Source organism: Homo sapiens, chromosome 3, assembly GCF_000001405.40.
Source record: "Homo sapiens chromosome 3, GRCh38.p14 Primary Assembly".
NCBI classification, from domain to species: Eukaryota; Metazoa; Chordata; class Mammalia; order Primates; family Hominidae; genus Homo; species Homo sapiens.
Window position 1 is genome coordinate 105,492,575 of NC_000003.12, and position 13,699 is coordinate 105,506,273.

Genomic DNA, 13,699 nt, shown 5'->3' on the forward strand with positions numbered 1-13,699 from the left:
TCCATCTAGCAGGGTATATGGATAGACTATAACCCAACATATGTCAAATAATTTTGGTGGGTAGCTCATTTGAACTAATATGGAAACTCCTCGAAGACAAAAATGTAATAATACATTAGCAATGTAATGCTATCATAAATTAGAAATGAAAAATGTTGTTCTATTTTTGGGGTATTAATTTTTCCTACTGAACATGTACATTCATTCAGAACTGTAGAAACAAAAAAGGGGAAAGAAAAGAAAAAGAAACATAGAAATATGACATTTGTCCTCTAAATTTCACTTTTTCAAAACTTAATTCCAACTTGACTTTAATATAGTTTAGCCATTATAAGCATTCTACCTAATGAATTTTTAAGAGCATTTATATGTAAAGTAGAAAAATTATTGTTTTGATTTTTTTCATTTTCTCAGTTCTGCAAATTAAGTACTTTAGATATTTTTTAGGTTTGATACAAATTAAATTTCAACTTATATGTAAATATTAGGTGTACATTTTATAGTTCTGTTCTCAGCACTGTAGTATGAGGAAAGCACTGTGTTGTATCAGAAGCTATGAATTATACAAAATCAGAATTAACTGCTTGGATAGCCTTTTGCAAATCATTTCACATAATTTGGTCTCTCAGTTCTCATCAAAGAAATTTTCAGAGGCTCGGTCCCTAAATAATAACTAAGTTATAAGAATCTATAGGGGTATGACCATGCTTATGTCAATAAAATAGTAATGATGGTGATAATAATAATAATCACATTTATTAAGCACATTCTGATGTGCCAGGCTCTGGTAAGCAGAATAATGATCTCCCCAAAGATGTCCAGATTCTGTTCCCCAGAACCTGAAATATGTTAATTTACATGGCAAAATGACTTTATGATGTGATTAAGGTTAAGGGCATTGAGATGAGGAGATTATCATGGATTATCCAGTCGGGCTCAACCTAATTACATGAGGCCTTAAAACAGAGCCACTTCCTGGCCGCAGTGAGGAAGACGTAGATACAGTGTGGCTGGTTTTGAAAAAAAAAGGCAGAAAGCAGGACAAGGAACACATGCAGCTTCTGGAAAATGGAAAAGGTAAGAAATTGGATTCTCCCATAGAGTCTCCAGAAAGTAACAATCTGCTGACACCTTGATTTTAGCCCAGTGAGCCCTATGTCAGACTTCTGATCTCCAGGAACTATATGACAATAAATTTGTATTGTGTAAACCACTGTGTTTGTGGTAATTTGTTACAACAGCAATGAAAATTTCTGATGTACCAGGCTCTCTGCTAAGTACTTTATATTAGCTTATTTTTGGCCTCACAACAACTCTAAGAAATAAGGGCCATTATTATCCCCATTATTATTAAGGTTTAGGATATTTTAAGTAGCTTTTCAAGCTCATCACTTGTAAATAGTAAAGCCAGCATACGACCCCAGGACTGCTTTGGTTGGATAAAGATGATGTCCTTAAAATTATTAGAAAACGTATATCTCAAAACAATTTAAGAGTTCTTGTTTTCATTTCCTCTACCGTAGAATGAAACTAATTTTTCTTTACTAACTGCATGCTGAAAAGAAGGGTCAATGAGGAAATCTCTGTGAGACATATGGGCCCAATGGGGGGGAAAAAGCTATTATATACTTTGTGTAAAATTAGTCCTCCTTTTCTTTCTAAAGTCATCAATTTTCTATTTTTCTTTAATCCAATATGTTCAGTATAAAGTCATCAGTTTTCAACCTTCTTTTAATCAGAGGTATTTCCTGGTATTTTATAAGGGAAAAATAAAATGTGACATCACTAACCTGTTATATTGTAGAATATAACAATGAATCTTTTGTTTTATAAAGGGCCTGCCTTCCTTCTTTCCTTCCTTCCTTCCTTCCTTCCTTCTTCTTTTCCCTTTCTTCCTTTCTTCTCTTTTTTCGGCCTAAGCAGGAACTCATTCACCTAAGAAGGAAAACAAAGTTGCTCCCTCTTAAGAAAGACATCCTGCTGATTTTGTCAGACAACAATTCTTTCTTGCTTTCTTTCCTTCTTTCTCTCTCATTTTGTTTCTCTCTTTCCCTCCTTCCCTCCCTCCCTTCTTTCCTTCCTTCCTTCCTTCTTTTTTTTCTAGGGAATGGGTCTTGTTCTGTTGCCCAGGCTGGAATGTAACGTCACGATCATAGCCTACGACAGCTTTGAACTCCTGGGCTCAAGTGATCCCCCCACCTCAGCGTCCTGACTAACTGGGAACACAGGCACCCACCACCACACCTGGCTAATCTTTTCGTTTTTTTGTAGAGATGGAATCTTGCCATGTTGCCTAGGCTGGTCTTGAATTCCTGGCCTCAAGTGATCTTTCTGCCTCAGCTTTCCAAAGTGCTGGGATTATAGGCATGAACCACTGCACCTGGACCACTGTTTTCTCTTTACTCTTATGATGCCCCCATTTATCTTAATCTTATTCTTATCGCAACTCCCAGACACCTCCTGTCCTCTTGGTGCACTAAAGCCTAACTTTCTCTTTGCTCATACAGACTGAGAGAGATCTTTTTGCCCGGAAGCTTTGAACATTTTATAAACTCCTTACCAAAATAACACCACTTAATCTGTGTCATCTGTGGTGACGAGCTTGTGAAAGCTATGTGGACTCTTTGGCACTGCATATGATACCACATTCCACATCAGAAATCTGGAGCATCCAGAAAGTAATTTAGCTCCTTGTTTTCCTCTTTGGTGCTGAAAGCCCTTGAAACCACTTGGGGGCTGCTGATATCTCAGATTCTCTATAAGTAGGAAACTTTTTGATAAAAACTGCAGTACCAGCAGGACCTTTTAGTGTGATGAGCACTAGAAGAATGAACAGGGTGAAATTTGTTTTGTTCCACAAAGGGACAAAAAAAAAACAAAACAAAACATGAAGATGGGTATAGACAGAAAGAGAATCTGTGAAAGATAGAGCCCTGGTTCAAAAAAATGACATATTTAAACTCAGGCAATGAAATAGTGAGACAACAAGTTTTAAAATAGATAACAGCAACATAAATAAGAACTTATTTTTATATGAAGAACCTGAGGTTGTACTTAAAGTATGCAAAGCACGGTGGAATAATACATTTTACACAGCACGCACTCAGAATCCGTTTATGTCTAAAATTAGCAAACAAGATCAAAGTGCCATTTACTACCTATGGCTGCAAATTAATGATTAAAGAAGAACAGGTTGATGGTTCTACCTAAAAAGTAAAAGAAAAGTTAAGGGAATTAAAAATCACAGTATTGTAGAATAGGTCTCAGTTAAATAATGCACATGGATGTTTTCCAAAAGAAAACTAAACTAGTTCTGCTTTCCCTCTCTTGTTTTTTCTTAACTTTCAACAATTGGCTGTTCTCAAAGCCCAAATAGTTCCATTCACTATAAGTTTCAAGTGCTTAGCAAAAATGCTGATAGCTTCAGTTTAGCTGTTTTCGGAAGTATGTGGATTTTTAAAATACTCACTTTTTTCTGCTATCAGAAAACTTAAGGGACGTATGAGAAAATAAATATGAGCCGAAAAGGCCTTTTTCATATGTGAAACATTGCAGAGCATAACAATACGCAAGTTCCCCAATACATTGTAGTTTCCTATAATTAAATACTTATATTCACATAGAGGAATATATCTTACATTTTCAAATTAGGCGAATAATTTTATAGCCAAATCTTTTAGTTTATATAGAACCCAAATGCTTAATATATCTTTGTTATATAATAATATTTTATATTGTGGTCTTAAAGCCATTCAGAAAGGACTAACAGTCATTTCCCCAGAAAAGTCAACTCTGTTACAAGAAGTTACAGAGAGCTTTGCTTCTTATTTTGTAGTGTGCAAAGAAAAAGAGAAAAATGGGATAAGGATGGAGGGAAAGAGGAAGGAAAGTTAATACTTTGAATGCTAACACTAAACAGGCTGTTACAAAAGCGTTCTGTCCTCCTCAGTCACTGAAGAGGAAATGCCTATTTTGTATCTCCCTCATTGTCTTCGCTTTTGCTGGACTTGTCGTACCAGTCACCCCAGAAGTCACTCAGCATGCCCCCTCTCATTCACTGGTTCTCTGCAAGGTCTTTTGACATTCTTGGTGTTAGGCACATTAACAGAACAGAGTGACTGAGGTAGATAAGATTATCTTAAAGTAAATTGTGAGGTGATTTTTTATTAATAGAAGAGTTCCATCCTGAAGAAATTACTTCTCATTCTGCTTGGTGCATTGGTGCAGTTAGATATTCTGATAGTCCAATTGAGGTGTGTGTGTGTGTGTGTGTGTGTGTGTGCATGCGTGTGTGTGTGTGTGGTGGAACGTACAGAAAAGAGACGAAAAAGAGCAATGAAGAAGTGTAATAAAATTAGTCCTCAAATATGGAAAGAATTAAATGGACGTTTCCATCTCTTCTTTCACCCTATTACCTCATTCTAACTATTCTTAGCAGGTAAAGAAAAAACGTCTTTACTCTATTTTTGAATCTAATCAATGCAGAATAGAAAGTTTATGGTACCCTTAAGGAAAAGAATTCATATAAAGTGTATTCTCACCTAAACCCCCAAAACCGTAAGAATGTTTTCTTCTTAGTTTCTTTAAAAAGCTATGAATCATTTTACTAGGAAAATAGGATTTTTAAAAGGTCACAGAATATACTGAAGACAAGAAATAATTTTTCTTTAAATACTATATAGGATGAGGAAATAGAGAAGAAAGAGAAGACTTCCCCAGCCATTTATGATGATAAGGAACTTTAAGTTCTTTTGCCTTCATATTTGTATAAATTTCCTAATTGGCCAACACTACAATTCACAATAACATGAATTATATAATGCATGTAATTTCTTCAGAGAAAATGCCTTACTGGATGTGTATTGTGCACTAGTTAGCCTTGCTTATTATTTTTTTTAAGTGAAACAGCATGGGTTGTTAGCAAATCAAATTTCTTTAAAAATAAATGAGCTTGGATAGTCTCCTGATGTCTACATTCCTCATGGCATAATAAACGCCCATCATGGTTTTGTGGTGACATTCATAGTTTCAAATATTTTGTCCTGCTGTCATGGTAAGTGCATTCATACGTGGAAGATTATATCCCAAGTTTGCATTTAGAAGATATAGTCACTGAACCCATATGTTGCCCATCAAAACTTTTTGGCTCTTACTGTTTGAAAGGGGAAATTGGGGGCCTGGGTGAGGTCGCTCACGCCTGTAATCCTAGCACTTTGGGAGGCCGAGGCGGGCGGATCACGAGGTCGGGAGATCGAGACCATCCTGGCTAACACGGTGAAACCATGTCTCTACTAAAAATACAAAAAATTAGCCGGGCGTGGTGGCAGGCACCTGTAGTCCCAGCTACTCGGGAGGCTGAGGCAGGATAATGGTGTGAACCTGGGAGGCGGAGCTTGCAGTGAGCCAAGATCACACCACTGCACTCAAGCCTGGGCGACAGAGCGAGACTCTGCCTCAAAAAAAAAAAAAAAGGGGGGAAATTGGACTATCCTTTGTGAAGCACCCACCATGTTCCAGGTTACTGATATCGTACATTCATTATCGACTTAATGCTGAAAGATAAGTGTGATTGTCCCTGCTTTACAGTTTGTGAAGTAGGGAGGTGTAGTGGTTAAATATATTCAAAGTCATATGGCTAGGAAGTCTGGTGTCAGGGTTCAAAACCAGGACGTTTGAGTTTCAAATTGCTGGGTTTTTTCCTCCACTCTTTATAGTATTCTGCTTCTGTATTCTGTAGTTTCTGGTCACACAAAACACAATGTAAAATGTCAGCATAAGTGGGAAGTTTTCTAAAAAGTAAATGTGTGAATAATGTGCTAAGAAATTCAGGACCCAGGTCTCAACACTACATAGAGAAGAATAATGACATTTGTCTTGAGTTTGGTATCCTTGACACCACCATGTTTTGTCTGTTAGCCTGCCAAATGTGTGTGTGTGTGTGTGTGTTTTAATCATCTTTCTCTTTATTAGTATAATATAATTTTACCTGCCTTGATATCATGTAGGCATAAGGTATTAGTCTTGTTCCATTTGTAAAGATTCCAGGAGTGTTCTGCTTTTTATAACACTTCAAAGTTTTGTGCTTGGAGCTCCACTATCCAAGAGAGGCAAATGGCTGTTAAGGAATCTAGTAAAACATTCCAATATAAAAACCTTCAGGGGCACATGGTGATCCATTAATAAAACAGAAATTCAAATGAAAACTTTAGTTTAACAATTAAGATGATCCTGACTCCTTGCTAAATTCCCATTGTCTTATGGGATACAAGAATGCAATATGAGATATTGTACAATGCCTTTAGTATTTTTTCTAATAGATTTAGTTCCATCACGAACTGCTAAAACAGTGTGAGAAAATTCTTGAAGAAGTTATATAAATATTAATGTATTTCAGAGTTTTGCTTATTGTATTGATATATGTTCAAAATGATGTATTTTTTCAGCAATACAAAGGATATAACTTATCTCACCTTTCTTTAGGCAAATGAATGACAACAAATTACAATAGTACAATATCACTAGATATCTTCTAAGTTCAGTGATTAAAATGTACCTACTAAAGAGAAATAATACTTTAATCACTGTAAAAACCCAAGCAAAGTAGAATTTTTCAAAGCCCTGTGGAGTGGCAACCCTATATCTTTAATATCTAAGAACTAGAAAATAATTTTAAATATACATATGTTTTATATTCCTTAAGAGCAAGTGACTTTAGGTGAGAGGAGACCAAAACTTAAGTGAATTACCATTTAAAGCAAAAGATCAAACTAGAATGTTAAATTGTAGCAAAAAAGGAAGAAATTATGTGACTCTTTCATACTATAATATTACCAGTTTGGAAAATAGGCCTAGTAATAAAGTTTGTTTTACTAATTCTTTCTAAATTCCAGGCCAAAAATATCATGTAACTTTAACATGGCTTTCATTTCCAGTCATGTACAGAAGAGTCCTTTAATCTTATCTTGCTAAAGAAAAGAAATATTTTTTGCCTTAAAACTGTATTCTATAAATCAGTTCATGTCTGTCTTTCTACATACAAATTAATTTCTGTTTGTTGATTAAAATCTGCTGGGGCGGAGAGGTAGCTGTTTGATGTAATTGGTCTATCAAGTTTAAATGCAAATGATTAAGTAGGGTAAACATTAGCAGGGATGGCAAACAGAACCAAAAGCATTTTCTCATGGTACTCTGCTGGAAAGCTGATGTGATTTCTAGACAGAACAGACAGCTTACCCAAAACTATCTAAGTACAAATATGGCTACCTCTTTCTTCTACATTCTCTCTCACCTGTTCCAATTAGCTGTAGGAATCCTCAGGGAGAACTGCATTTCACAATTAGATTTTAGAATTGCCGTACCCTTAATAAATACGGGAGCCTTTAATGTAATATCTGCTATCTTTTCTTATTTCAATTTACCTCACCTAACAACCACTTTGTTTTCAGAGCCTCTTTGTAGAAGGTCAGTGTGCAGTAGATTGGCTTTGTTCACAGACTACACAGGATCCTCACTGGAGGTTTTGTTTAGAGCTCATATCAGTTAATGTCTCCCAAATTATTTCTTAAGTGTTACACTTGATTTACCACCAGTTTCCACATTATTTCACAATACAAAAACTCACAAAAAATTACCATACTTTCTTCATATTAATACGACAAAGAATGATGAACTTTTCCTGTAAGCCTGCCTGCCTTCTTCTTCCTTCCTCTTTTCTCATCTCCTTCCTAGCTTCTTTCACTCACCATCTCTTCTTTTTTCCCTTTTCTTTCTTTTTTTCTTAGGATTCTGTATTTTTACGATGCAAGCTCTGTTTGTGGTGGGTGTTTAGATGACATTAAAAGATCTCTCTTTTAAAATATTTCCTTTCCAACTTCAGCAACTATGGAGAAAATGCTGATACAATATTTAAAATTTAATATACGAAAGTTAATTTTCTATTACATACTCCATTGCATGTTATAGTAATGCACTTGAAATATATTATCTCCATTTCATATCACCATGCCAAACTTACAAAAATTCAGTATCTTTAAAATACCAAGACTATTTAGAACAAATACATGATGTGGTGTTCATAAAAACAATATTGGATTAAGAGTCACAAGAGTCATTTCCTTAACTTGGTTCTATCTTCAACACTTTAAATTCTCTGGTCCTTAGCTTCTTTAGTTACAGGATGAGTGACTGCAATAAATTATCTCTAAGGTCACTTATCATTTCAAATGTACATCTTGGAATCACTAAACATTTCCTTATAAAAGGGCAATAACAGAAATATTTCCTACAGCTGGAGTCTTCTTATCTGCCAACCTCAACCATTCAGAGCCCAGCTCTGCAGGAAACACCCAGGTTTTGAGCAGTCAAAATAAATGCTGATGTCCATGAACCAAACTTTATTCACAAGGAAACTCCTTGGGCCCCTCTCACAGAGACTGTTTACTCTTTACATTGAATCTCTTTTAAAGTTTGATTATGTTGTTTTCAAAGGCCTGGCATGTTAGTGGCAAACTGGAAAGGGACTATGAGACAATCACAGAAGGGAGCAATAAATGGGCGAGTGCTTCGAAGGCTCTGAGGTGCTGCACAAATGCGGGCTGTTATCATTAGCGAGAGTGACTGACAACTGACAGGAATAGTGAGAGAAAAGATAAATCATTGTAAACAAAGCACAGGAATTTCAAAATACTGTTTGGGGTGGGGCTGTTTAGTATATTGGCAAGTCGGTTGAAACAGTTCAGTAATTCCTGAAAGTCTCACTGAATTATAGCATAGTATGTGCTTATAGAAATAACAGTTATCAAGGAGATGTTTATTTACATTCTGAATAATATTTGGTTTAACAGATAGTGTAACTGGAAAGTGAAATCTTAAGCACTATATAATGGTATTTTGACATGTAATTTTATTTGACATCAGAAGAGTATGCAAGATGCTCCAGATGTTCCAAATATTCTCCATCTAAAATAATTTAAAAATAAAAATCTATAAGGTATAAGAATCTAGATTTCAAATACCTAGAAAATAATATCTGAGTGATCTTGAATACATAAAATATTACTTTAATTTTGAAATGTAGTTTATTTTTCTTATCCATAATGGTAGTAATTAAGATGAATAATATTAATTCATTTTGTTCCCTATTTAAATGAAACAGTACTATGCCTGAATCAGAATTTCCTGCATGCAGCATGGCTTCTAAGCTCACAAGCTTATTATGAGAGTAGTATTGGAAAGATATAAAGCATAGTGCCTGCCAATACTTAAAACATATTACATGCTGAGGCAATGCAATAAAAATGTTTAATAATTCTTAAGTGATAGTGGCAACCAATCTAAAGCAAACTCAAGTTACAGTTGAAAACACTTATCAATTGATATAGAGTTAGAAACCAAAATCAAAGTTTGTTCAATGTCAAGTTACTAAAATATTCATTGAAAACTCCAACAGCAAATTAAATTATAAGATGAAAATAAGAAATCTGACATACTATCTTTTTGCCAGTCCAGGCATAAAAGTAATAGGGCTAGAAATTCCAACTGAAAATTAACTGTATGCTTTTTCTCATATTGGAGAATCTGAATCCTAGAATATTTAAGCCTTGTCTTATATCATATTATGCATAAATAAACTGAAGCCCAAGAAAGCAAGGTCACAATGAGGTTAAGATGAAACAAGAAACTTGTTTTCTCTAGTCTCTTTACACTAGTGTTCTTTCAAGTATGAGTTATAAAACAGATATTTTATGTAGAATTTTTTTTAAAAAATTCTTATCATCTACTACCTAACATTAGTGGCAGACAGCATTGTAAGAATGAAGACCTGGGTGGTTATCAGAGTCCATGTTCTTCAGGGCTTGAGGCCATGCTTTTGGAAATCATTTCCCAGAGCCGGGGCATTTGAGGAGAGTACAGAAAAGCAAATGAATGGTGAATAGGAGAAAGGCCATCAGCCAGGCAGCTGCAGGTTAGACGGATGGATTGACTTCCCAGCAGAGCAGGGCACAGTTTGCTCAATTACCCTTTTGTACAGCTGGGAAAGAAAGACAGGAACATCAGAGACTGCTATCTCTCAGTTACCAATAACTTTTGAAAGAGGTATTTGAAAGACATATAAATGATATTTTCCACTGCCTCCCTGTGCAGGGAAAGCATTGTATGTCAAGTCAAAACTGAAATTCACTAGTAACCAAAATTAACAGCCATAGTCTTTGGCAACTATCTTTGGTCACACTATCACCTAGAATTGGCTTTGTACTTTGTATCAGAGCTTTACATGAGGTCCTTGATCTACTCATCAGTGTTTTCAGAAAGACTTCTGGATTCCCAAATAAATTCAGAAACTTCTCTTAAAAAGAAAAATTAGTACTGATTAAAAAGCACAGTATTACAGAACTTGTTATTAACATTTTATTTTTGCATTTACTTTTTCCAATCTCAAATTGGTAAGCACAAAGCTTAAGAAAACAAACAACAGTATTTCTTTAGGAGAGTTTAAGTTCCAGCTTTGGGTTTTTCTCTTTCTGTAGTTTATAGTGTGTGGCAAAAAGGGCTCGCGTGTGTTAAAGCCAAAATGCATTTTGCATTAACAATTTGCGTTTAGAAATCCAAGCACCTAACACCACCAGAGTTAATATTTGCTTTGGACTCTTCTACTTATTTAGTCTCAAGCTTTTCCAAAGAGCTAACACAAAAAGACAGCTTTCCTATTTGCCTAGTGAGTGTGTGATTTCACACATAGTGTATGATATGCTTCTACAGAGACTTGGTATTAGCTGTTTTTCATGTGAGCTGTGTACTTAGTTATGTTGGGAAATGTGAACTTTGTAGTTGAAAAATGCAGCAAACTGACTGAGGCTCATATCGATTCTACTTTAGAAATGTCTCCTGTCTCCTTTTCACTGTGCCTCTTTTTCATTCCCACTGCCCTATTTCACTATGAGTACATAACCTAAACACTTTAACACGATTACCTTCCCCGAGTCCCTTCTCCAGCTAGTTTGCCTTCATACTGCTGCCATAATTTTCAATAGCAAAAATCTGACCACTTCACTGCCATCCTTAAAATGAACCAAAAATCCTTTTGTTGACTCCACATTCTTTACAGAATAAAGTCCAAATTGTTTAAGCTATTATTTAAGGCTTTCAAAGTATCACCCCATTGCTTCTTTCCCAGGTGCCTTTCCTTCCATCACCTCCTACAGCCCCTAAACCTCAGCCACACTGGCTGAACATGATTATACCCTTGCTCCAGCCTTTCTCTTGCAAGGAGTTTCCTTCATCCTTCTTTCCACTTGAAGAAATTCTTATCTGTGATGATTCAGTATAAATGTCCATTCCAGGCAAAGCCTTCTCCAGCCTATTCATCAATCCCTCCTCTGCTCCTGCAACATTTGGCATATAATCTCCATTATTCCAATAAATAAAAGCCAAAGAGACATAATAACTTTCAGCACTCGTTGTATGAAAAGCACTTTTTTAAAGCAACTTATACTTATTAATTTAGTATATTCATGATAACACTATGAGCATGATACTATTAAAAGGGGGAAAGTTCCCTTGTCCCCCTCACAGGGCATGCGACAGGGGTAGTGGCTCGCTTCTTCAGTGCCCCACTGCTCAAACCTCTAGGGAGCACACAGACGGGCAGGTTATGGGGCAGGTTATGGAGCTCCGACCCTATCGCAGTGTCTTGTGCTCTTTTAGTTTCGCCGTCTATAGGCGGCTTGTGTTAACCAGCTTAATTAGACCTTCTACGTTGTCACAAGGACAGAGGGCTTTCTGTATCTCGGGTTCTTGCCTTGGTGTACCGGAAGAATCAGATCACGTATGGGCTTGGAGAATGAGTGCAAGCTTTTATTTAGTGGAGGTAGCTCTCAGCAGATGGGGGAAGCCAGAAGGAGGATGAAGTGGGAAGGTTTTCTCCTGGAGTCTGGCCACTCAGCGGCCTAGCCTCTCCTTCAGCTGCCCCCGCCAACTCCGCGTCTGTTTCTGCAAGCCCACGGCCTGCCGGCCTGCTGGTGCCTGTCAATACATACCTCTTGACGTCCAGCTGCTCGTTTGTTCCCCCCACCTTCCCCCCGCCGATGTGCTGCTCCTCCAGACGACCACCTGTGTGTCTCTGCCTGCTAGGGTCTCAGGGTTTTTGTAGGCCCAGGATGGGGGCATGGCAGGCCAGGGTGGTCTTGGGAAATGCAACATTTGGGCAGGAAAACAAAAATGCCTGTCTTCACCTAGGTGTGGGGACACAGGCCTGGGGGTGGAGCCCTAGCCAGGGACCACGTCCCCCTCTACCCAGCTCTTCCCTTCCCCCTTCTGTATCATTTAAAGGGACCACGCTCTTCCCTACCCAGCACTTCCCTTCCATATCACTATCATTGTCCTCAATTTTACAGCTGGGAAACATTAGTGCATATTGGCTAAGTAACTCACTAGAAGTCACCTAGCTTATTAGTAGCAGAGCTGGATTCATCCTTACCAGGTCTGAGGCCAGAAACAATGCCTTAATTGCTACACTCTGCTGCTAATTATGTTTCATTTCTGTCTTCTAGATTTTTATCTCCTTGGAAGAGGTAGCTTATTTATATGTATATGTTGTATTAGACCGTCCTCTCATTGCTATAAAGAACTACCCGAGACTGAGTAATTTATAAAGAAAAGAGGTTTAATTGACTCAGTTCCACCAGCTGTACAGGGAACACAGCTGAGGAGGCCTCAGGAAACTTGCAATCGTGGCGGAAGGTGAAGAGGAACCAGGGACATCTTACATGGCCAGAGAAGGAGGAAGAGAGTGATGAGGAAGCTGCCACAGGCTTTTAAACCACCAGCTCTTATGAGAAGGCACTATCTTGAGAACAACAAGGGGGAAATCCACGCCCATAATCCAGTCACCTCCTACCAGGCCCCTCTTCCAGCATTGGGGATTATAATTAGACATGAGATTTGTGCAGGAACACAAATCCAAATCATATCATATGCCCAGCAGGAGTATAGTATCTGGACATTTTAGCCAATCAATAGCTTTATGTCCAATTTATCTGAATTAATACGAATCAGAGCCTTTTAGATTAAGGAAATTTTATTTTTAAAAATAAAAATATTTTCACAGAAAAACATTCTTAGAAAAAATATTGAAGACTGTTTGGCACAGATCAGTAATAAATAACTTATTAAATTCTAATCAGATGTTTAGCATATATCTTTTACAGTCTTTGGATTATATCAACAATATTAGATAAAGATATAACCTACACTATTCTTCAGATATATTTAATTTTTTTCATTTTCAAAAGATTTTATTGGCTTTCCCACAGAAATCATTATAAATATTCTCATAGCTACAAAGGCTTTAGAACAAATAGAAAATTTCCATAACTTTATCTTTCTGAAGTATAATTGTGTTGAAGTATGATCAGCGATTTTTATTGATCTTATGTGTTTACCTTGGTGACTGTTAAATAAGATTTTGTATTGGAAATTTTCTTTGTTGAACAGCTCCCTGTTTTTAAAATTAGAAACACAAATTTATGGATTTCTACATAACAAACTCTCTAAAATGATACTCTTTACCTAAGAAGTATGTAATATATGCCTGTTAATTAAACATGTACTAATAGTTATATTTGCATGTTGAGGCTTCCTGCAATTCACAAAACATAAAGAAAATGTTTTAAATTGATTCTAGGGGTGGTGTTCTTATTAG

The 13,699-nt window shown here is 36.6% G+C and overlaps 1 protein-coding gene across 4 annotated transcripts in view, besides 2 other annotated features; it reads left to right on the plus strand.

Moving 5' to 3' along the window:
• The window catches only part of ALCAM (activated leukocyte cell adhesion molecule), a 209,992-nt gene that overhangs the window by 125,666 nt on the left and 70,627 nt on the right, over nucleotides 1–13,699 (plus strand). The gene's annotated exons all lie outside the window — the stretch shown is intronic.
• Nucleotides 11,556–12,086: an enhancer, noted in NCBI's record as "H3K27ac-H3K4me1 hESC enhancer chr3:105222974-105223504 (GRCh37/hg19 assembly coordinates)". NCBI's record gives its function as "activates a minimal SCP1, AML or CMV promoter by ChIP-STARR-seq in primed H9 embryonic stem cells {active_cell/tissue: H9 hESC(primed)}" and the evidence as "EXISTENCE:reporter gene assay evidence [ECO:0000049][PMID:30033119]".
• Nucleotides 12,087–12,617: an enhancer, noted in NCBI's record as "H3K27ac-H3K4me1 hESC enhancer chr3:105223505-105224035 (GRCh37/hg19 assembly coordinates)". NCBI's record gives its function as "activates a minimal SCP1, AML or CMV promoter by ChIP-STARR-seq in primed H9 embryonic stem cells {active_cell/tissue: H9 hESC(primed)}" and the evidence as "EXISTENCE:reporter gene assay evidence [ECO:0000049][PMID:30033119]".